The sequence below is a fragment of the Homo sapiens genome, chromosome 14 (assembly GCF_000001405.40).
Source record: "Homo sapiens chromosome 14, GRCh38.p14 Primary Assembly".
In the NCBI taxonomy this organism is placed as follows: Eukaryota; Metazoa; Chordata; class Mammalia; order Primates; family Hominidae; genus Homo; species Homo sapiens.
The window spans coordinates 58,337,925-58,359,523 of record NC_000014.9 but is presented as its reverse complement, the minus strand read 5'-3'; the positions used below and the strand labels follow the sequence as shown (position 1 = coordinate 58,359,523).

Here is a 21,599-nt window from a genome sequence, read left to right as displayed (position 1 = left end):
ATATATTTGTCAAAACCTACAGAATATACAACACCAACAGTGAACCCTAATGTAAACGATGGACTCTGAGTGACAATAATGTGTCAATGTAGGCACATCAGTTGTAACAAACATCCCACTCTGGTGGGGGATGTTGACAATCTGGGAAGGCTATGCATGCATGGGGCAGAGAGTATATGGGAGGTCTATATACCTTGCTCTCAATCTTGGTATAAACCTAAAACTGTTCTTAAAGTCTTAAAAAACACACAATACAATTTGGATAATTCCTATACATATTATAAAGGACATAAATCTACAAACATACTTTAGCTTTTTTCTTCTGTTTTTTCTTTGGTCCACCTTTGTCCAAAGGCCAGATTATCCTGTCAGCCTTCACCCACTCATCATACCTTAAAAAAAAAAAAAAAAAAAAAGAGTTTGTACAAACTTTATACATTATAACCTTTTTGAAATGTATTCACCAAACGAAAACAACAGTGAGACAGATTAAATAGTTTGTTCTTAGTGTTGGCAAGAATATGAAGGGCACAGGGGCTGGTTTGCTGGTAACATGTGCCAGTAACTGTAGTAGGTATTTTGTATACTCACTAGGGAAAGGCAAGAGGATTTCTTAAGAGTTAACAGGTTTAGAGGGAGAGTCTTGGAAAGCAAACTCTAGATTCAAGACAATCTGAACTGTTTTGTTTTCCACAGCTTTTACAGACCTGAGCTTATAATCAGATCTGCAATAGAATTCGTGCTATTGAATGAATAATAGAAAGCTAAGTCAGATAAATTCAAATTTGCAAGGTGATCAGTTTCAGGTTATTTTATCAAGTTATTTTATCAAGTCCATTTCAACTTCCTTTTCCTCCTCAACACTCTCTCTAGTATTTCCAATAAAATCTTCTGAACTACATTGCCTTTAGGATTCTGAAATTTTTTAGAGATATCTGTATTTCACCTACTTTATCTAAGTTTATTCTGTTTAGCTTAAGTTGAAAACTCATTTCCCCTAAACATTTACTTAAAAATTTATTTTAAAATTTATTTTAAATTTTATTTTTATTTTTGGGGGGCTAGTTTCAATGTTGTCACCCAGGCTGACATGCAGTGGTGCCATCTCGGCTCAATGGAACCTCTGCCTCCTGGGTTCAAGTGATTCTCATGCCTCAGCCTCCCAATATCTGGGATTACAGGTGCCTGCCACCACACCCCGCTAATTTTTTATTTTTCGTAGAGACGGGGTTTCGCCATGTTGGCCATGCTGGTCTCGAACTCCTGACCTCAGGTGACCTGCTCACCTCAGTCTCCCAAAGTGCTGGGATTATAGGGGTGAGCCACTGGACCCGGCAATTTTTTTAGAGAGGGTCTCACTCTGTTGCCCAGGATGGAGTGCAGAGGCATGATCTCCTGGGCTCAGATGATCCTCCCACCTCAGCCTCCTGAGTAGCTGAGACCACGGATGTACACCATTGCACCAAGCTAATTTTTGTATTTTTTATAGAGACGGGTTTTGCCATGTTGCCCAGGCTGGTCTTGAATTCCGGAGCTCAAGTGATCTGCCCACCTCAGCCTCCCAAAGTGCTAGGATTACAGGCATGAGCCATTGCACCTGGCCTTCTCAAATGATTACTATCACTTTTGATTGTCTATAGTCCAAGTGACTAATCAGGGGCAAATAAGAAATTAAGGTTTCTAGAACTAAATAACAGTTTTTACATTATCTAAATATACAAGTATTTACAGAATTAAGTCAAAATCTAAAAAATGTACAGTTAAGTAAAGAAACAACAGGCAGTCCTTGCTTTAGACCAGGAATGTCCAATCTTTTGGCTTCTCTGGGCCACAATGGAAGAAGAATTGTCTTGGGCCACACATAAAATAACACTAACGATAGCTGATGAGCTAAAAAAAAAAAAAAAAACCATGCAAAAAAATAAAAAAAACTCATGTTTTAAGAAAGTTTATGAATTTGTGTTGGGCCACATTCCAGGCCATGCTGGGCTGCATATGGCTTGTGGGCCACAGGTTGGACAAACTTGTTTTAGACTGTAGCGTATTAATAGAAACTCATGTATCTGGAAACCATATTCTTGCTTTATAAGCCAGTTACCATGGAGATGTACAAAGTAAGGACATGGTTCCTTTATGCATGTATTTCAGTTGACATGGTACCATGACTACCTATACAGATGCTCCTTTACTTATGATGCCATTATGTCCTGATAAACTCATCACAAATTGAAAATATCCTGTCGAAAAATGCATTTAATACATCTAGCCTACTGAACATCACAGCTTAGCTTAGCCTACCTTAAACATGCTCAGAACACTCATATTAGCCTAGAGTTGAGCAAAATCAACTAACACAAAGTCTATTCTATAATAAAGTCTTAAATATCTCATGTAATTTATTGAATACACTGTACAGTACTGGTTGATTAGTCTCATGATTTCTTAGCTGTTTGTTGTGGCTGCACAGTCTGATGAGAGAGTATCATACTGCATATCGCTAGACCAGGAAAAAAAATCCAAATTTAGGCCGGGCGCAGTGGCTCACGCCTGTAATCCCAACACTTTGGGAGGCCGAGGCGGGCGATCACAAGGTCAAGAAATCGAGACCATCCTGGCCAACATGGTGAAACCCTGTCTCTACTAAAAATACAAAAATTAGCTGGGCATGGTGGCGTGCGTCTGTAGTCCCAGCTACTTGGGAGGCTGAGGCAGGAGAATCGCTTGAACCCAGGAGGCGGAGGTTGCAGTGAGCCCAGATCGCACCACTGCACTCCAGCCTGGCGACAGAGCAAGACTCCGTCTTAAAAAAAAAAAAAAAAAAAAATCAAAATTCAAAATTCCATGGCTTCTGAATGCATATAGCTTTTGAACCATTTTAAATTTAAAAAAAAAATTGAAGTTGAACCACTATAAGTTAGGAACTGCCTGTACTATGATTTGAAAACTATCTCTCACTCATTAACCCAGTATCTAGTTTCTAAAACGAGACTGGCTATGAGCATCATATTAGGCTTTTAAACATCTGTACTTTATTAACTTATATGGAAATGTTTATTCATTTGAACATTTACTGAGGGCCTACTAGTATGCACTGTATCAGGAAGTATGTAGAGAATAAACATGGCCAATGCTCTCATGCAACCCATAATCTGTTATAAAAGATAGACATATAGTAAAATCAAGTATAGTCTGGTAAGTGCAATATGTACCTGATCCAGGGCTAACAAAGGGATAACTCTATCCAATTCCATAGGAGGTATCAGACAACCAAGAAGCACAGGCCTGATTTTTAGTGTACTTGGTCCTGGCGACACTGGACAAAGCAATATATCATGTAGGTACTTCTAGCACTAATATTGCTAACAAAGGATAGTCCCAGGATTTCTCAATGAGAGACCAGGACTCTTCTCACACTTCTTACACTTGCAGATACTCCCTTTCAGGAGTCTGGCTAAATTCGTTAGGAACCATGGTGGCTTCATCTCAACTGAACAGGCCAGAATTATACCAGCTTTTAGGAGTAGAGAAGAACAACGAAAAACCATGAACCAGGAGAGTACTAGTTAGGTAATTAATTAGAGAGATGACTAATCCAAAACCTGAGCGTATAATAAAATGACTGCTGAGAAGAGTCATAAAGTAAAACATTAAAAAAATGAGAAAGAAAGATAGGGGAAATTCTAGAAAGCAGAACACAGACATATACAGATGTGAAATAGGAGTGGATAGTTGTGAACTAAAGAATCTGAGGAAGAAAGAAGGCTATCATGTGATGCAACTGGAAATGTAATGACTGAAAGTTGGTATGATATATTCCTTTTCCCCTGAATTCAATAACACATTGTAAAGAAAAGAAAACAGTTAACATTCATGGAGCACTAAGTGCCAGGCATGGTTCTAAGCATTTACATCTGAATACAAATATTATCACTACAGTAGTCCCTGCTTAGCCACAGCATAGTTCAATTACCCATGGTCCAAAAATATTAAGATATTTTGAGAGAAAGACCACATTCATATAACTTTTATTACAATACAGTTATAATTGCTCTATTTTATTATTGTTGTTAATCTCTTACTGTGCTTAATTTATACATTAAACTTTATTGTAGGTATGTATGTATAGGAAAAATCATAGGATATATAAGATTCAGTACTATGTGAGGTTTCAGGCATCCACTGGGGGTCCTGGAACACATTTCCAGCAGATGAGAGGGAACTACTGCATTATACAACACCTCTACAAAATAGGAACTGTATTTTTCCCAGTGTAGAGATGAGGGACTTGAGTTATAACAGAGCACACATCTAGTGTATAGAGAAACCCAGGAGCAGTCTGGCTCCAAATAAATACAGGGCAACCAGAGATATTAAATATGCCAGATTTTGTAAAAGAGAACAAGAAAGGCAGCCCCTGACATTTAGGAACTTGCCTGGCACTATCAGCTGGGCCTTGGTGTTGCTTAGAGCTAGTCTGGCACTCATAGCTAGGCCACACTGTCCTGCTGTTGAAACATGAACAATTTCAAAGAGCATCAACATCAGACAAGTCCATTCTGTGACCATGATGTATCAAAACAGAAACAAGACCATGTCCTAATCGTGTCTGAACACAGAAAAAACAGGAACATTGTCTAATCCACAAAAACGACAAACATCTTCTTTTTCTTGACTAATGTGGGTGATTGCTGTTTCTCTACCAATTATAATGTTACCTTGGTCTAACTGTCTCTCCTTCTAGATAAGATTTATTACGAAAACCAACTATAATTACCCCAACTTCCTGACAGGATCCAATATGGAGCAAAATCTCTTTTTTCTTTTTTTTTTTTTTTATTTATGAGACAGGGTTTCGCTCTATCATCCAGGCTGGAGTACAGTGGTATGATCATAGCTCATCTCAGCCTCCAACTCCTGGGCTCCAGTGATCCTCCCACCTCAGCCTTCTGGGTAACTGGGACTACAGGTGCGTGCCACCATGCCAGGCTAATTTTTAATTTTTTGTAGAGATGGGGGTCTAACTATGTTGCCAGGTCTGGTCTTGAACTCCTGGCCTCAAGCAGTCCTTCCGCCTCCACCTCCCAAAGTGCTGGGATTACATGCAAGAGCCCCCATGCCCTGCCTTTCTTAAACCCTCCCCAAAATCATCTAACGGAAGATCAAATGTAAGTTCTAACGTTCTTTTTTATTAATTAGTCGACTTAGAATTATTACAGTGCTTGACATAGGCTTGATTTCTGATTAATGAAACAAACACTTGCACGGTTGGAAGTTGCAGGCCTGGCTCCCTGCTCATAGTCAGTAATATGTCTCCACAGAATTATGAATTATTGTTTTCCCAAAGATGGTGCCTTGAGCCTCTGTTGATTCATTTAACACCATATTACTAAGATGCCCTATGGTTCCCCTTGCTGTGTGTTCTCCCTCACTATAAATGAGTAATAAATGTAACTTGTTCTAACTACAGGTGTGATCCTGGTAGTCTCTGGCTAGAAGCATTGACACTGCTAGTATAACAGCAGGAATGTCAAAGTCTTGGAAAATTCAGAACCAAGGTGTGCTTTGTAAATATGTACCATTATTTGCTTTCACTCTTCATAACATTAAGTTGATGTTCTATTTAATCATCGAAAAAATTTCAATAGTAAGAAAATAGTTTCTTGCTTACCTGACATTCCATCCATAGTAATGTACCAAATATAAAACTTCTCCGTCATCAATTTCAGTGCTTTTAATACTGGCTTCATAAATTTTCTGAGTCTTCCCTCGTCCATATTTTACTTTCACTTTGGTTCCTGTTAGGCAGGGTTCCATGTCTTCCTCATCTTCCTCTCCTTCAGAGTCACATTTGCTTTCAGTTTCTTCCCTGCAGTAAGTTATAATACTGATAATGCTACTAATAACTTAATGGAGAATAAAATATGCTAAAAGAATCCAACAGGTAGATTATTCACAACCTAAGTATTACCTTAATAACATATCAGTGGAGGAGGAGAAGAAGGAGGAGAAGGAGAAGATTTCTGTGGCCTACTTACTAAGGAATTTATTATGTAAAGGTGCACTGTACCCAAAGTAAATCCATACTTTTTAAAAGCCAATCAAGTCACAGTTAACGATGATCTGTAATAAAATAAGTCACTTCTGACAAAACAAAATAAGAAAAATATGCTCTGAAAAAATTCTTTAGAATTCATATTTAAGTGCCAGCTAACGATGATCTGTAATCAATCACTTTTGACAAAACAAAATAAGAAAAATATGCTCTGAAAAAATTCTTCAGAATTCATATTTAAGTGCCACCTTGTATGTAAAAAAAGATTTAAGGATATTTTGTAACTTCCTGTAACTGAATTATCTTAAATCTGCTTTACTACCAGAATTAGAATAGTTCTTGGCAAGACTAGTTTTTTTGGTGGGCAAAATAATGAACAAGGGCTATCTACCTTAGTAACCATGTCTTTTAAACTAATTTATATTTTAAAGGTTTCCCAGCCCTAACAAAGAAAAGAAATTTGAGTATTAGGTCATTTGTTGACACTGTAGGATACCACCACAAGAACAAAGCTTTACATTTGTGTTGAATTCTATTTGTTTACTCATCTTCCATCGGCTTTTCTTTGTATTGATAATCAGGTATAAGGAAGATTAACACAGGGAGAGCTAAAAATACTTTTAATATTTTTATAATAAAATATTGTGTATCAATCCTGTAAAGACTTATAGGAGAACTGCATCAAAGATCATTCTAGTGTCACAAGCATTAAAAGCTCAACAAGTACTACTGGGCTCTGTAATAAATATAGGGCATTATTTTGGTGATCCCTGGGGGTCCTGACATGAAGCTTTGACAGCCCATTTGTAGTGAGAATGTTTTCTCTTGGAAGGCACCTTCCAATAATAGAGTGATAAGGTAAATTCAAAACTCTATGAGAAAAACTACTTAAAGATAATATTGTTCTTACATTCAAGTCTGTGAAATTTTCTCTAAAATAAATCTTTGTCCATTTACAAAAGAGTTACAGTCTTTTTAAATCACATTTTACATAGATGTATTATATGTTTTATATACATATTACAATATACATATTTTGATGTTTTTCACCTTTGCTTAAATTTTTTGTCCAAATATTTAAAATTCTATACTCACTATACTCAACTCCAATTAGTTCCTCCTACTTTTCCTAATCCTAATTATATTTCATTACAGAACTTTTTTTTACTCACTAACCTAGGTCATATGTAATTGTGATAGCTCCTGTGCCTATTTGTATTTAATCAAATTACCTCTCCCATTCACCAATCATCCTATTTTTCCAAATATTTATTCTCTCAATGGCAGGTCAGTTTTCCCAAATTTGGCTTAACAACTCAAATTTCTAGAAAATTTAATATCACATAATAATAGAAAAATAACTATGGAAGAGAGCTGGTATTACAAGTAAGTATGTTATGTTGTTGCTCATTTAAAATTCATTTTTAGTCGTGTCCTAAAATTAGTAAATCCATTTGACAACACTTACAGAAGCAGCTAATAACTTGGTCAGAGACTACCTTGATCTTGCTGGACTGCCTAATATTTGACTATTTTTAAGTCAGTTCAGTCCATACTTGTCTAATACACAGAAAAAAAATACAGTTTTACTCAACAGCAAACAGGATGGACATTAAAAAATCTGAAATTTATTGGTGTGATGTGGGGCAAGAATGTATTTTCCAAACTAGAATCAGGGGTGCATGCCACATAATCTAATACAATAACTTGAAAAAGAAAAATGTCTTAAAGCTAACACACAGAAACATCTCTAGTACTGTGCACCCATGTGTTTGTTAGCTTTCCCACATTGTACCTTTTTTAAAATGGAATTTTTGCTGTCGCTGTTTCCTCTTGTCCACTTCCTCCATTTTTCTCCAGCTCCCTTCCCTGCTGTCAACTGCAGGACCTTTCTTTTGACTGGGTGGCGCAGCCTTCTTTGAGGCCACTGTTTAGGGCACAAGTGCTATTAAAATGGTGCGACCAGTATATTCTCCAATTCCGAAAGGCAATACACATCATCTTCACAATGTGTCTCACCTTCATTAGACAAGAGGAACGGAAGTCCCAATAAGAAAACATTCCCTCAAACCTGAATCTCTAAGCAGGAACAAAGCGCTGTTGTACCCCAGACAGGTGCTTCTGGAGAACAAACATAAGATAATGTACCTCTCTTGGCTTTTCTCTTCCTCTTCATCTGAGTCTTTGTCAGAATCCTCCTGTTTTTTAATTTTCTTCTCTTTTTGCTTTGGTGTATTTTTTCTCCCCAGTAGTAGCTCATTTTCTTTTTTCTCTGCAGTTTCATAGTCATCATCTACATCCTTATTTTCTGTATCATTATCTTTTAATTTGTCTTCTGTTTTCTCTTCTTCAATTTCCTTTTTAATAGAATTTACATCTCGAGCAATTCTCCTTCGTCCCTAGTAGAGGGGATAAAAGCTTTAAAATAGCTATCACTATAAAGGGGAAAAAAGCAGGAAAAAATATCTTTTCCTTTAACCTTCATAGCAATGTCTCTGGCTTGAAACGTGGCCCTGAAAACCAACTCAAAGGTACCTTTCTCTTCCTTTTGAAAGTAAAAGAATAACTGATAGAATTACTTAATTATGTCCAGGTCTACTTTGGCTATATACTACCTAAGAAATATCTGTCAGAATCTGTTTGAATGAAAAAAGTAAACAACAACAACAAAAAAGAAATAAAAATTTTCTCCTTTGTTTACTACATCATTTTATCTCACTTTTATTATTTCTCGACTATAATAAAAATTTAAAATAAATTATCTAATGTTAATGATAAAACGTAACAATAATAAAACCAATCCCCTGAATTTTGCTTCTTTAAAGGCTCTGTGGTCTCTAATTCTACCGTTAGTAAGACAAAATTTACATTGTCACTGTATTTGTGGATGATTACATTTTTAAAGGACTGAATTGCATCAATGGCAAAAAAGTGAGCAGACTTCTTTGAATGAGTATCTGGAGAGCTCGCTGGGCCAACAGCAATATGTTTTACCACCACTAGCTTCTATCTAGCCCACTGAATGCTGAAATGACCATGACTGGTGAGCAATTTCACTATCTCCTAGGTTCTCCTTCAAGTCAACTTCTATACACTGGCAGAAGTCTCCTCTTCTTGGAATAAAGCAGATAAAGAGCCAGCAACTTAGGAAGCATTAGGATACAATTAATATCTCAGTAAACAAATGTTTTCCCTAGTTGCTGGCTATGTGCTATTTACACTTCAAAGGCAGAAAAAGAAGAAATTAATTTCTTTCTATCTTAAAGCACTAACACACAAGTTCCAAGATGGCACTTCCATCTCCTCAGATCTACACAGTGGCTGGCACATAGCAGGTGGCAGGTGCTTTTTTTTTTTTTTTTTTTTTTTTTAAGACAGAGTCTCGCTCTGTTGCCAGGCTGGAGAGCAGTGGTGTGATCTCAGCTCACTGCAACCTCTACCTCCCAGGTTCAAGCGATTCTCAGCCTCCTGAGTAGCTGGGACTACAGGCGCGCACCACCATGCCCAGCTAATTTTTGTATTTTTAGTAGAGACAGGGTTTCACCACGTTGGCCAGGATGGTCTTGATCTCTTGACCTCGTGATCCGCCCGCCTCGGCCTACCAAAGTGCTGAGATTACAGGCGTGAGCCACCGTGCCCGGCCTAGCAGGTGCTTTTAAAATATCTATAGGTAAATGAATGAAAACAACTGCTATAAAATTTGGGTCTGTATACCTTTGTCCCAGAAATACTGTTTTTATTTATTTATTCATTTTTTTGAGATGGAGTCTCGCTCTATCGACCAGGCTAGAGTGCAGTGGTGCGATCTCAGCTTGCTGCAACCTCTGCCTCCTGGGTTCAAGCACTTCTCCTGCCTCAGCGTCCTGAGTAGCTGGGACTACAGGTGAGAAATGCCATTTTTAGAAGCCTGGCTTATATATGTGGATAAGTGATGAGGATATTTTTACAAGCAAATGTATTATAGCACTTTTTTTTTTTTTTGTATTTTTAGTAGAGATGGGGTTTCACCATATTGGCGAGGCTGGTCTCGATCTCCTGATCTCGAGATCCACCTGCCTTGGCCTCCCAAAGTGCTGGGATTACAGGCATGAGCCACCGCGCCCGGCAGCACTTTTTAAAATAGTAAAAAACTGGGAGAAAATCTTGGAGAAGGTAGATTTATGGTTCATCCATACTAGACAGCACACTGCAGATATTTTATGTAGGATGAGGAAGGTTTTTAGGTAATGAAAAGAAAGTATGTCCACAATACATACAATAAAATATTATTCACCTTTAAAAAGGAAGGAAATTCTGATATGTGCTACAACATAATGTCTTACAGACATTATGGTGAGTGAATAAGCCAGTAAAAAAGGACAAACACTGTATGATTTCACTTATATAAAAGTACCTAGAATATCAAATTCATAGGTACAGAAAGTAAAACTTTGATTGCTAAGGGTTGGGGAGGAATGAGGAGTTACTGTTTAATGGGTACAGAATTTCAGGTTTGCAAGGTAAAAATATTCTGGAACTGGACGGTGGTGACACTTATGCAACGGTGAGAATGTACTTAATGCCAATGAAGTGTACACTTAAAAAGAGTTAAGGTGGCAAATTTTATGTTATATGTACTTACCACAATTTTAAAAAAAATTAAAAAAAAACAATTTGGAAATTTCATGACATTCACTAGAAGATTCCATTTACTACATGAAGGAAGTTTTGAAAACTGGTTTCTGAACTATAAGACAAAGCAATTTCACATTCTCTTTCATTAAATATGATTCCACCAAAAAATAAGACATAGTAATTAAACTTCTTTGATAGTGTGGTAAATTCCTTTCTCTTTCTAAAATTTGATAAATCCTACTATGTAACATCACTGGACACTGATCCAAATGCTAGATGACAATTCCTAAATAGACCTTATATATTAAAGGAAAGAAGGAGCAAAGTTGGAAGATACAACCAGCATACATGTACGCATCACTAGAGCTACACAGTGTGCTATAAAGTTACAAAGACAAGATATCATCTAGTTTAGGGCACAGGCACTATAAAGAGGTGATTCATTTATTCAACATCTATTTAATAAGCCTTTATTATGTGCCAGGCACTATTCTAAATGCGTGGCATCTGTCAATAAACGAAATAAACACTAATCCCTGACCTCGTGGAGTGTGATTCTAGTGTAGAGTGGGGCAAAATAGATAATCACAATAAACAGAATAAATAAGTAAATTACAGAAAGAACAACATCAGAGGGACTGAGAGTTCCAAAGAGAGGAGGCAGGTTACAATTTCAGATAAGGTGACCAAGACAGCCTTCAATGAGGTGATACTTTAGCAGAAGACTGGAAAAGGAATATCTGGGATTCATCCCAGACAAGAATGACTTGATCGAATATAAACAGAAAACAGAAGGAAGGGTTTTCAGGTAGAGGAAATAATATACAATATATTTCGAAAAAAGTAGCTAGCTAAGCAGCATTAAATACTGGAAAATAAACTAGGTTCACTGTAGTACTTTTGTGTATATATGAAAATGGCTATAATAAAAAATTTTAAATAATACTTAAACCAGATAAAACTAGTATTAAGAACTCACCCTCGGAGATTTTAATTCTATCTCTTCTCTTTCACTTTCACTGTTTGAATCGATATTTTCCTCAGGTTCACTCTTCACTTCTGTTAAAGGCATTTCTTGATCTAATTTGAGAGCCTCTTCCATTGATTCTTCTAAGTCTTTTTTTTCCTCTTTTACTTTTGGTTCATGGTGATGAACAGTTCTGAACTGAATATTTGCCGAACGGCAGTACTCCTCAAAACCATAGAGATACCTAAACAAACAATATTTCATTTAAGAAATCTTACAGTCTTTGCATCTAACTTGAATTCATGTTATTAAACACATTTTTAAAAAGTAAAGCCCAGTAATTTAAAAAAATTTTTGTTACTCTTTTCTGTGTTACTATTTTCTTGGTGTTTTAGATAGAATCATAAACAGAAAAACTGATCATAAAATGCCGTCCTGAGACGTCTGAGCTTGTGATAGCTAAACATAACTATCATAAGTTTTGATATGAAGGCTGTTCACCCCAAAAGATGTAGCTCTGTAATATGTATCATAATCGCAGACACTACCTGCATCCTGATTTTGGAAAGGAAATCAGGACAACATAAGAAATGGAGTAAAGCAGATTAGATGCGCTGAAATAACTTTCAATCACAAGTATCTGTCAACCTAAACCTTTTTATATACTTTCTCTAACTTTAATGTTTCTAGATTGATGTATTCTTGTTAACAAAGTAAATGGAAAATATTTCCTATAAATATATATTCTTTGATGAATAAACTATACTACTTACTTTCTATAAGCAGTTTTTACATTGTAGGAAGCAGCTGAATTCAAAATAGGAATGCCAAGGTCCATATAAATTTGCTTCCATACAGCACCACTATCAATCTGGAAAATTAAGTTTTTATGTTAACATTTGCAAAGGGAATTAATCTTTTTTTTTTTTTTTTTTTTTTTTTTTTTTTTTTTTTTTTTTTTTTGAGACAGGGTCTCACTCTGTCGCCCAGGCTGGAGAGCAGTGGTGCAATCAGGGCTCACTGCAGCCTCGACCTCCTGGGCTCAAGTGATCCTCCCACCTCAGCTTCCCGAGTAGTTGGGACCACAGGCATGCGACACCATGCCTGGCTAATTTTTGTATTTTCTGTAGAGATGGGGTTTCGCCATGTTGCCCAGGCTAGTCTTGAATTCCTGAGCTTAAGCAATCCACCCGCCTCAATCTCCCAAAATGCTGGGATTACAGGCGTGAGCCACCGTGCCTGGCCAGGAAAAGATCTTTATCCTAATATTCTATGTTCATTAAGAAAATGTATTTATTATCCAATGTGCATATAATAATGCAATATAAGATAACTTAACTTTTTACCACATCAATACATGTTTCAAAAAGCAATGTTATACTTACATTGTCACATCCACCCTGATGATAAACCAGTCTGAAGAGTTTGAAGAGATTGAGATCTTTATAGCCCAAAACAGGTGGTTTGTTGATTGGAGTACCTTTTCAATGTAAGTAGGTAGAAATAAAATGTTTATTCAAATGAGAAATACTAATTTGAAAACAAAGCGGTCAATTTCTAATTTCCCCAATTTCATTAATTAGAGGCACATATTTAAAGAGCCTTAAACAATGTAAAACAACACAAGATAATTCTCTTGTGTTGTTTTATATATAATAATTCTTTTTTATATGTTTTATATATAATAATATATATAATAATTCTCTCTTATTTATATAGCTTTGTGGGGATCTTCAGATTTTAGGTGTTATACTAATAAAGCTACCTCTTTAACTGCCAATGAATTGAGTAAAACTAAAGTAAACACTGCATGGTGTGGCCAACAATGTTGCTGGTTCAAGACGCTTGGGCATAGGGCTGGGTGCAGTGGCTCACACCTGTAACCCCAGCACTTTGGGAGGCTAAGGCAGGAAGATCACTTGGGCTCAGGAGTTTGAGACCAGCCTGGGCAACATGGTGATATCCTGTCTCTACAAAAATTAAAAGGAAAACATTAGCTGAGTGTGGTGGTGTGCACCTGTGGTCCCAGGTACTTGGGAGCCTGAGGTGGGAGGACTGCTTAAGCCCAGGAAGTGGAGGCTGGAGGGAGCCATGTTCACGCCACCGCACTCCAGCTTGAGTGACAGAGTAAGACTCTGTCACAAAAAAAAAAAAAAAAAAAAAAAAAAAAAGTTTAGGCATAAACAAACACAACAGAAAAGATAAGATTTATACCCTGGTTCCACTTTCACTACTTTGACACAAATGTTAAGACTGTTAGCAGTAATCTGAAGGATGATTTCTGAAGGCCACACAGAATGTTTAGGACCAATTTATCTTAAGATTTTCTAGGACTAACAAATGGCAAGGAGTATGATGGTTTATAATTGTTCTATTATTCTACCTATATTAGAAATCTCATCTTTTTCAGATAACGATTGGTCTCCTATTATGTTTAATTTGCTGAGAACAAGGATCAGGCTAGTTTATCTAGTTTATTTGCCACAAATATAGCATTAGTAATTAGTGGGTATGCAGATTAACATAACTGGTCACTTTCTATTTCTGAAATATCAGAATATTCTTTAGCTTTGTAAGTGACAGGGAAAACTAAATTGTATCAAAATATTTTCTCACTTGTTTCTATGTAAAATAGGTATGAACAGTTTAATTCCAAATATTTTACTACTGTCAGGTGTAACTGATTCTAGGATTTATTTAAAATCCAAAACTAGACAGTCATGATGGTTCACAGCTGTAATCTCAGCACTTTGGGAGGCAGAGGTAAGAGGATCACTTGAGGCCAGGAGTTTGAGACCAGCCTCGGCAATATGGCAAAACCCGTCTCTACAAAAAATAGAAAAATAAAAAATTAGCTGGGTATGGTGGCACGTGCCTGTAGTCCCAGCTACTCGAGAGGCTGAGGCAGGAGGATCACTTGAGCCCAGGAGGTCAAGGCTGCAGTAAGCCAGGAGCAAATCACTGCACTCCAGCCTGGGCATCAAAGCAAGAACCTGCCTCAAAATAAATAAATAAATAAAATCCAAAACTGTTTATCTGCAATACTAACAAAAACAATGCATATACCTAGAATGTAAACATGAAAAAGAAATGACTACTTTAAAATAATGAGCATGAAAATACCTCTGTCTTCCATAAACTTATAAAGCTGCTGGAGGAAGTTGTCCCTCTCTTCAGGATCAAGTTCTTCCTCAGGCTGTAAAGATAAAATATATAAATGTATGGCACAGTGAACTGGAAAAGATACATGTCTTCTTTTATTTTTGTGAACCCAATGTAAAGTCATCAAATTTTAATAAAGCTGAAAAATCTGAATTTTCTCAATATCCTACAATGACAGATTTTAAGTCATATTTATGAAGATATACAATGTCTACCCTTCACTCCATTTACCACTCTAACTCTACTTTTCAGTATCACTGTAAGGACTAAGATTAGCCAAGAGGAAAACATTCAGGAATAAAATGGGAGTGTTACGTTTTCACCTCACCTGATATATTTTTTTTAAAGCCCATTTAAATACTATGTGGCCCACACAAATATACTGGCAGATGAGCACAATAATGACACATGTTCATTATATCATATATTTATATATAAAAATAATTTTCATATAAACATAGTTTTTGTTATTGCCAGATGAATATAAACCAGGGATTGCAAAGTCACAGTGGCAAAGGATTTCTGTTTAGATGGCACAATGTTTTAAAGATATTTAAATACATTTAAGTGAGTCATATACATTCTATTTTACCCCAGACCTCATCACCCCCTCATCTCACAATAACCTGGTTTTCTCTTTTGCCTTTCTAGTATGGCCCCTGTACTTGACTTTGCAACACCTAAAAATAAGATAACAAAATAATTCCAGAAGTAATTCTTAGGGAAGGAAACTAGATACATAATTACTGATTTAGCTTCTTTTAAAATTCTTAAAGTTTAGCACTACTAGAGAAAAACAAAACACTGATATGTTTCCTCCATATAAATGATCATAACTTAGAGTATTACTCTCCTCTGTTCTAAAAGAAGAGCTCAGATTTTTGTCTTTTTTTTTTTTGAGATGGAGTTTTGCTCTTGCTGCCTAGGCTGGAGTGTAATGGCACGACCTCGGCTCACTGCAGCCTCTGCCTCCTGGGTTCAAGCAATTCTGCTGACTCAGCCTCCTGAGTAGCTGGGACTACAGGAGTGTGCCACTACACCTGGCTAATTTTTTGTATTTTTAATAGAGAAGGGGGTCTCACCATTTGGCCAGGCTAGTCTCAAACTCCTGACCTCAAGTGATCCGCCCACTCCAGCCTCCCAAAGTGCTGGGATTACAGGCATAAGCCACAGCACCCAGCCTGGATTTTTGTCTTTACAAAGCCATATTCAAAACAAAGGCAATGCTCAAGCAATAAATGTTGAGTCTTCGGTGTCCAGAGGGCAACAGGCACTTTAAAATTGTGTTATCTAATAGCTGATAATACAGCCAGGATCAATAAGCATGTAGTTGATCAAAATATATAATAAAAAACCATGAGGCAATCAAGAGAAAGGGAGTAAGATCTTTTATTACATTATTTTAGTACATTCATTCATAATGATTTATAACACTAAAATACTTTTACCAAATATAAAGAAATTTAAATATAAGTTCTAACCAAAATCAGCAATTTACAAAGTTAATAATCACTATAAAGTAGTTAGTGAAGGTCATTACTTAATGCTCAGATTAAGAGATGGCAGTTTTTTCCCCATGTGAATTTAAAAATCTTGCTTTTATAAAGTTAACTGCCAATGAGTTAACTCAAGAAAATAGGTAATTCAGTAGCCCAAGAACCACTTCACACATTAATTTTAAGAACTTCTAGCGTGAGGAAAAAAAATCAAAACCAAAAACCACTTATGCCAGACTGGCTCTATGCTTTGCCTGTGCCCTGTAATCGTAATATTCTCTCTTCAGACGAAAACTTCATTCCAGTATTTTTTTTTTTTTAAAGACAGAGTCTTCCTGTCACCCAGGATGGAGTGCAATGGCACAATCTCAGCTCAGTGCAACCCTCTGCCTCCCGAGTTCAAGCGATTCTCCTTCCTCAGGCTCCTGAGTAGCTGGGATTACAGGCATGCACCACCACACCTGGCTAATTTTTGTATTTTTAGTAGAGACTGGGTTTCGCCACATTGGCTAGGCTGGTCTCGAACTCCTGACCTCAGGTGATCCACCCACCTTGGCCTCCCAAAGTGTTGGGATTACAGGTGTGAGCCACTATACCAGGCCTCATTCCAGTATTTATGATCCTACAGAATTCAGGTAACACTTCTATATTCAATATATGTAAAAGCAATTCTTTAAAAAGGCACTAAAATCAAAGTTGCTCCCCAATACAAGTAAACAAAATCAACTCATCAATTGCAAATTAGGTTGTACCCAACATTTGATAAATTTTTAATGTTAAGAATATATTTTTATAGATAAAATTTGATTTATGTGTATTTTTTTTAAAAGTTAGTGGGTAACCAAGAGTGCTTTAGGTTTCACGAGAAACTATGGCTGTAAAATTGTAGTTTTGGTACAGTTAAACAAGATATAAATGAATAAAGAATTCTACTTACAAACAAATGCCTTGAGGGGAAATTTCTTTTCCACCAAAAATAAATAAAACATGATGCTATAAACAAAGTTTTAAACTTATCTGATGTTTCTGTGAAAATTAAAATTGCTTATCTCTTACAATAAGCCACTCCTCAAAATTATTTTTGAAAACTAGCCTTGCTGCTAGTCACCTTGCAGTAAAACTGCATATGCTAGAGAACGCCTCCAATTAGAAGAATGTGCCTTCGTGACTTTTGTATGGGGCTCTTAATTGCTATCACGGTTTGCTTTCTCTGTCCATGGCATTTTCATAGCAATTTCTCTGCTGGTGAAGGCCTGGCACTGTTGCATCTTTCAAGGGTTTTGGAGTGCGAGAGGGTTATAAGAATGGGAGGTAGAGGTCCACTAGACCATCTGAGACTTCTTCCCTTCATTTAGTCATTTACATTTATACATGTAAAGAATAACTATGCACCCAGTAAAATGCCAGAGATCCAAGAGTCACATTCATGATGATAATTTCAAGAAATTTCCAATTTTAGTTAGTATTAGTATATACTGCTTAGTATTATAAGTAGTTGGATATCTATCTACACTACTAGATTGTGAATTTTTTGACTTTAGGCACATGTCTTCAGATTAAGCTCAAACATCTACTAATGGTTACCATGAATCAGAGATTGTTCAAAAGCACTGTGGATTAAAATGAGAACACATGGTACCTTCTATTTTTGCTGCTCTGAGTTTGGCAGGAGGTGTAGAAAGGTAAAAGAAGCCAATATAACACGATGTGGTAAGTGTTGTAAAATACATCAAAGAATACAGGAGGAGCAAGTGAGGGAATGAATGGTTTTCCTCGAGATGAACTGGCAGTGGTAGTATTAGGCAGCTTCAAAATGTAAATAGTAGACAGCCCTGGAGCTACAGCAAATGGGCAAACAGCGTAAGCATGAAACTGACAAAGGCAGGCTGGGATTAGGAAAGGACTTTGTAATAGTATGCTAAAGAAACAAAACTTGATACTGTGGCTAGATGTGAAGCTTGAGACAGCTAAAGAGAATTAGATCAGATTTGTATATTTAAAATTTCTCAGCCAAGAATGAGTTTGATGGATTGGAAGGGAAAAGGAAGCCATTATAACAGTCCACAAGGAAGAGAACGCATGCCTGAATTAGTCCTGCCAGCTGGGATGGAAAGATCACCTCTTCCCATGAAAGGAAGAGGAAGAGAGAGAGACAGAGAGAAAGACAGAGAGACTGATGGAGGGATGGGGAGAGGGAGAGAGAAGGGGAGAGGGAAGAAAAGAGAACCACTGTGCCTGACTTACTCACAATTTTACGACTAATGACTGCCATTTAGTTTAGACATTACTCATGTGAATGAAAATGATATCTGTGCAAATGAATTGTGTAGAGTTTTCTTGCTTCACATTCATTGAGTATGAGAGCTAAGATTTATGATAATATAAATGCAAGAGTCAGAGAAAGAGAGGAAATAAGAATAGTTGAGGATGTTCTTAAGACACAGGTGGGGCCGGGCACGGTGGCTCACGCCTGTAATCCCAGCACTTTGGGGGGCCAAGACAGGTGGATTACCTGAGGTCAGGAGTTCGAGACCAGCCTGGCCAACATGGTGAAGTCCCGTCTCTACTAAAAATACAAAATTAGGCCGGGCACAGTGGCTCATGCCTGTAATCCCAGCACTTTGGGAGGCCGAGATGGGCGGATTGCCTGAGCTCAGAAGTTCAAGACCAGCCTGGGCAACACGGTAAAACCCCATCTCTACTAAAATGCAAAAAATTAGCTGGGCGTGGCGTTGTGCGCCTGTAATCCCAGCTACTCAGGAGGCTGAGACAGGAGAATCACCTGAACCCAGGAGGCGGAGGTTGTAGTGAGCCAAGATTGTGCCACTGCACTCCAGCCTGGGCAACAGAGCAAGACTCTGTCTCAAAAAAACCAAAAAACCAAAAAACCAAAAACAAAATTAGCTGGGCATGCTGGCGTGCACCTGTAATCCCAGCTGAGACTGCGCCACTGCACTCCAGCCTGGGCAAAACGAGTGAGACTCTGTCCCAAAAAAGAAGAAGAAGAAGTAGAAAAAAAAAGACACAGGTGGTTATGGCCCATGACTTGCTGGCATTCACCTTATCCCTTGTCCAAATATATAAATCTGAAAATGAACGATTATTCATTTGGAAATGGCAAAAATTCTAGTAAACAGACTTCCTACCATTTTAGTGGGATGGGAAACTGATATGGTTTGGCTCTGTGTCCCCATCCAAATCTCATGTTGAATTGTAATCCCCAATACTCGGGGAGGGACCTGGTGGGAGGTGATTGGATCATGGGGCAGATTTCACCCTTGCTGTTCTCATGGTAGTGAGGTCTCATGAGATCTGGTTGCTTGAAAGTGTATAGCACTTCCCCCTTTGCGTGCTCATGCTCTCTCTCTCTCTCTCTCTCTCTCTCTCTCCTGTTGCCACGTGAAGATATGCTTGCTTCCCCTTCACCTTTTGTCCTGATTATAAGTTTCCTGAGGCCTCCCCAGCCATGCCTCCTGTACAGCCTGTGGAACTGTGAGTCAATTAAACCTCTTTATAAAATACCCAATCTAACAAAGTTCTTTATGACAACGTGAGAACAGAGTAATACAGAGACAAATACAATTTGAAAAATAAGATATCTTATTTTTGTAGGAGCTATTAACTTTCTTAGCTAGCAACTCTAGTTTCCAATACACATTAGGAAGGTGGACAGATAGTGTCCAAATTGTCAAAATATGTCAGTAAAAGATGATGAACTTTACCCAAAGCTCCTCAGACCCATGTAACTTGTACACAGTTCTAATTGGTGGCTTGGGATAGTTTCCTAGCGTATAACATATCGGAGCCACAAAAATTGACATTTTTAAAGTGAGGAAAGGTATAACTAAACTTGATCTTTGTGGTTTCCCTATACTGTGTATTGTATGTAACAGAACATATTGTTGATGGGTATTCTCAGGTTTCAAGAACCTCTATGGGAATCCCTTAAAATTTTTGGTCAGGCTCAGTGGCTCCTGCCTGTAATCCTAGCACTTTGGGAGGGCCAGGCAGGAGGATCACTTGAGCCCAGGGGTTTTAGACCAGACTGGGCAACATAGCGAAACTTTGTCTCTATAAAAAAAAAATAATAATAAATTAGCCGGGCATGGTGGTGCATGCCTATAATCCTAGTCCCAGCTACTCAGGAGGCTAAGGTGGGAGGATGGCTTGAGCCTGGAAAGTTGAGGCTGCAGTGAGCTATAATCACCACTGCACTCCAGCCTGAGAGGCAGAGTAAGACTGTGTCTCCAAAAAAAAAAAAAAAAAAAGTTTTAATAATTATATAACACCCCTACCTTTTGTGTGTATTGGGGGTGGGGGGTGGGGCGGTGTACTCCAGTATACCACTCATTTTTTTCAATACCAAAGGACTTTTTTTTGTGCAATAATGTTACTTTGGACACAAGCAACTTTGTTTCCCCTTCATGATAAATAAAAGTAAGATCTTTTATTATATTCTTTCTTTTAGTACATTCATTCATAATGATTTATAACACTAAATACTTTTACCAAATATAAAGAAATTTAAATTTCTTTATGATGCTGTCTATAGTCCCTCTTCTGGCCCTCTTCATGGGCTACCCTTCTCACCCCAACTCTGAAACTCCATCACAAGTCCTCACACTCCTCAGCTCTTACAACCCCTCCATCCCCTCTCCTTCATCCCTACCACCTCCAAAAATGAGGCTCAGTTTGAAGGCAGCAGGAAGAATCCCCTGAAATGGGCAGATCCCTATCATGGAAGGAGAGATGTTAAGACAGCACCCTCCAAGCTCCACTGTGGGGAGCTAAGCACTGCAAGGAGTACATCAGAAGTGGCAGCTCTGAGGACATGTCTGGACTGGAGGACTCACGGGAAGGAAGCAGCGAATCCAATAGCTGCTTACATTTTTTGTATAAAATTTTAAATTTATAATATATTAAATAGTGTGATTTTTTAAAAATGTGAAATACTAAAACTAAGGTAAATGCATAGAACATTTGTAAGCTGTACTCACCCACTTTAATTCAAGTAGAGCCCTCTTTGTTCCTACAGACATCTGTTGAATTTTTAAAATCTCAGCTGTTGTTTATCATTTACTCATTTTCTGAGTTTTTAAAACTTGCGTTTTATCTTTCCTATTATATTTAATACTAACAAAGGGAATGGGCAACACAAAGGCAATATTCAATGTAATGTATCTTACAGCTCAACAGCACCTTCTGAACAATATCTAAGTGGCAGCAGGGGAGCTATAAGAAGTCCCATATCATGGAAGAATAATGGAAGGGAGAATAAAGAGGTGGGCATGGGTCACATCATGATCAG

The 21,599-nt window shown here is 37.5% G+C and overlaps 1 protein-coding gene across 11 annotated transcripts in view; it reads right to left on the bottom strand.

Annotated features, from left to right (window-relative positions):
- The window catches only part of ARID4A (AT-rich interaction domain 4A), a 75,322-nt gene that overhangs the window by 14,353 nt on the left and 39,370 nt on the right, over window positions 1-21,599 (bottom strand). For 8 of the 11 annotated variants that reach the window (XM_005267964.3, XM_005267965.3, NM_002892.4 and 5 more), the window contains 7 exons: window positions 14,757-14,829; window positions 13,019-13,113; window positions 12,407-12,504; window positions 11,646-11,877; window positions 8,201-8,451; window positions 5,669-5,866; window positions 308-392 (listed from right to left, as the gene is read on the bottom strand). In XM_005267964.3, coding sequence (XP_005268021.1) covers window positions 308-392; window positions 5,669-5,866; window positions 8,201-8,451; window positions 11,646-11,877; window positions 12,407-12,504; window positions 13,019-13,113; window positions 14,757-14,829 — 1,032 coding nt within the window. Of the gene's footprint in view, window positions 1-307; window positions 393-5,668; window positions 5,867-7,847; window positions 8,072-8,200; window positions 8,452-11,645; window positions 11,878-12,406; window positions 12,505-13,018; window positions 13,114-14,756; window positions 14,830-21,599 lie in introns of those variants that run through there. The other 3 variants (XR_001750495.2, XM_047431656.1, XM_047431655.1) reach the window with 3 other exon arrangements.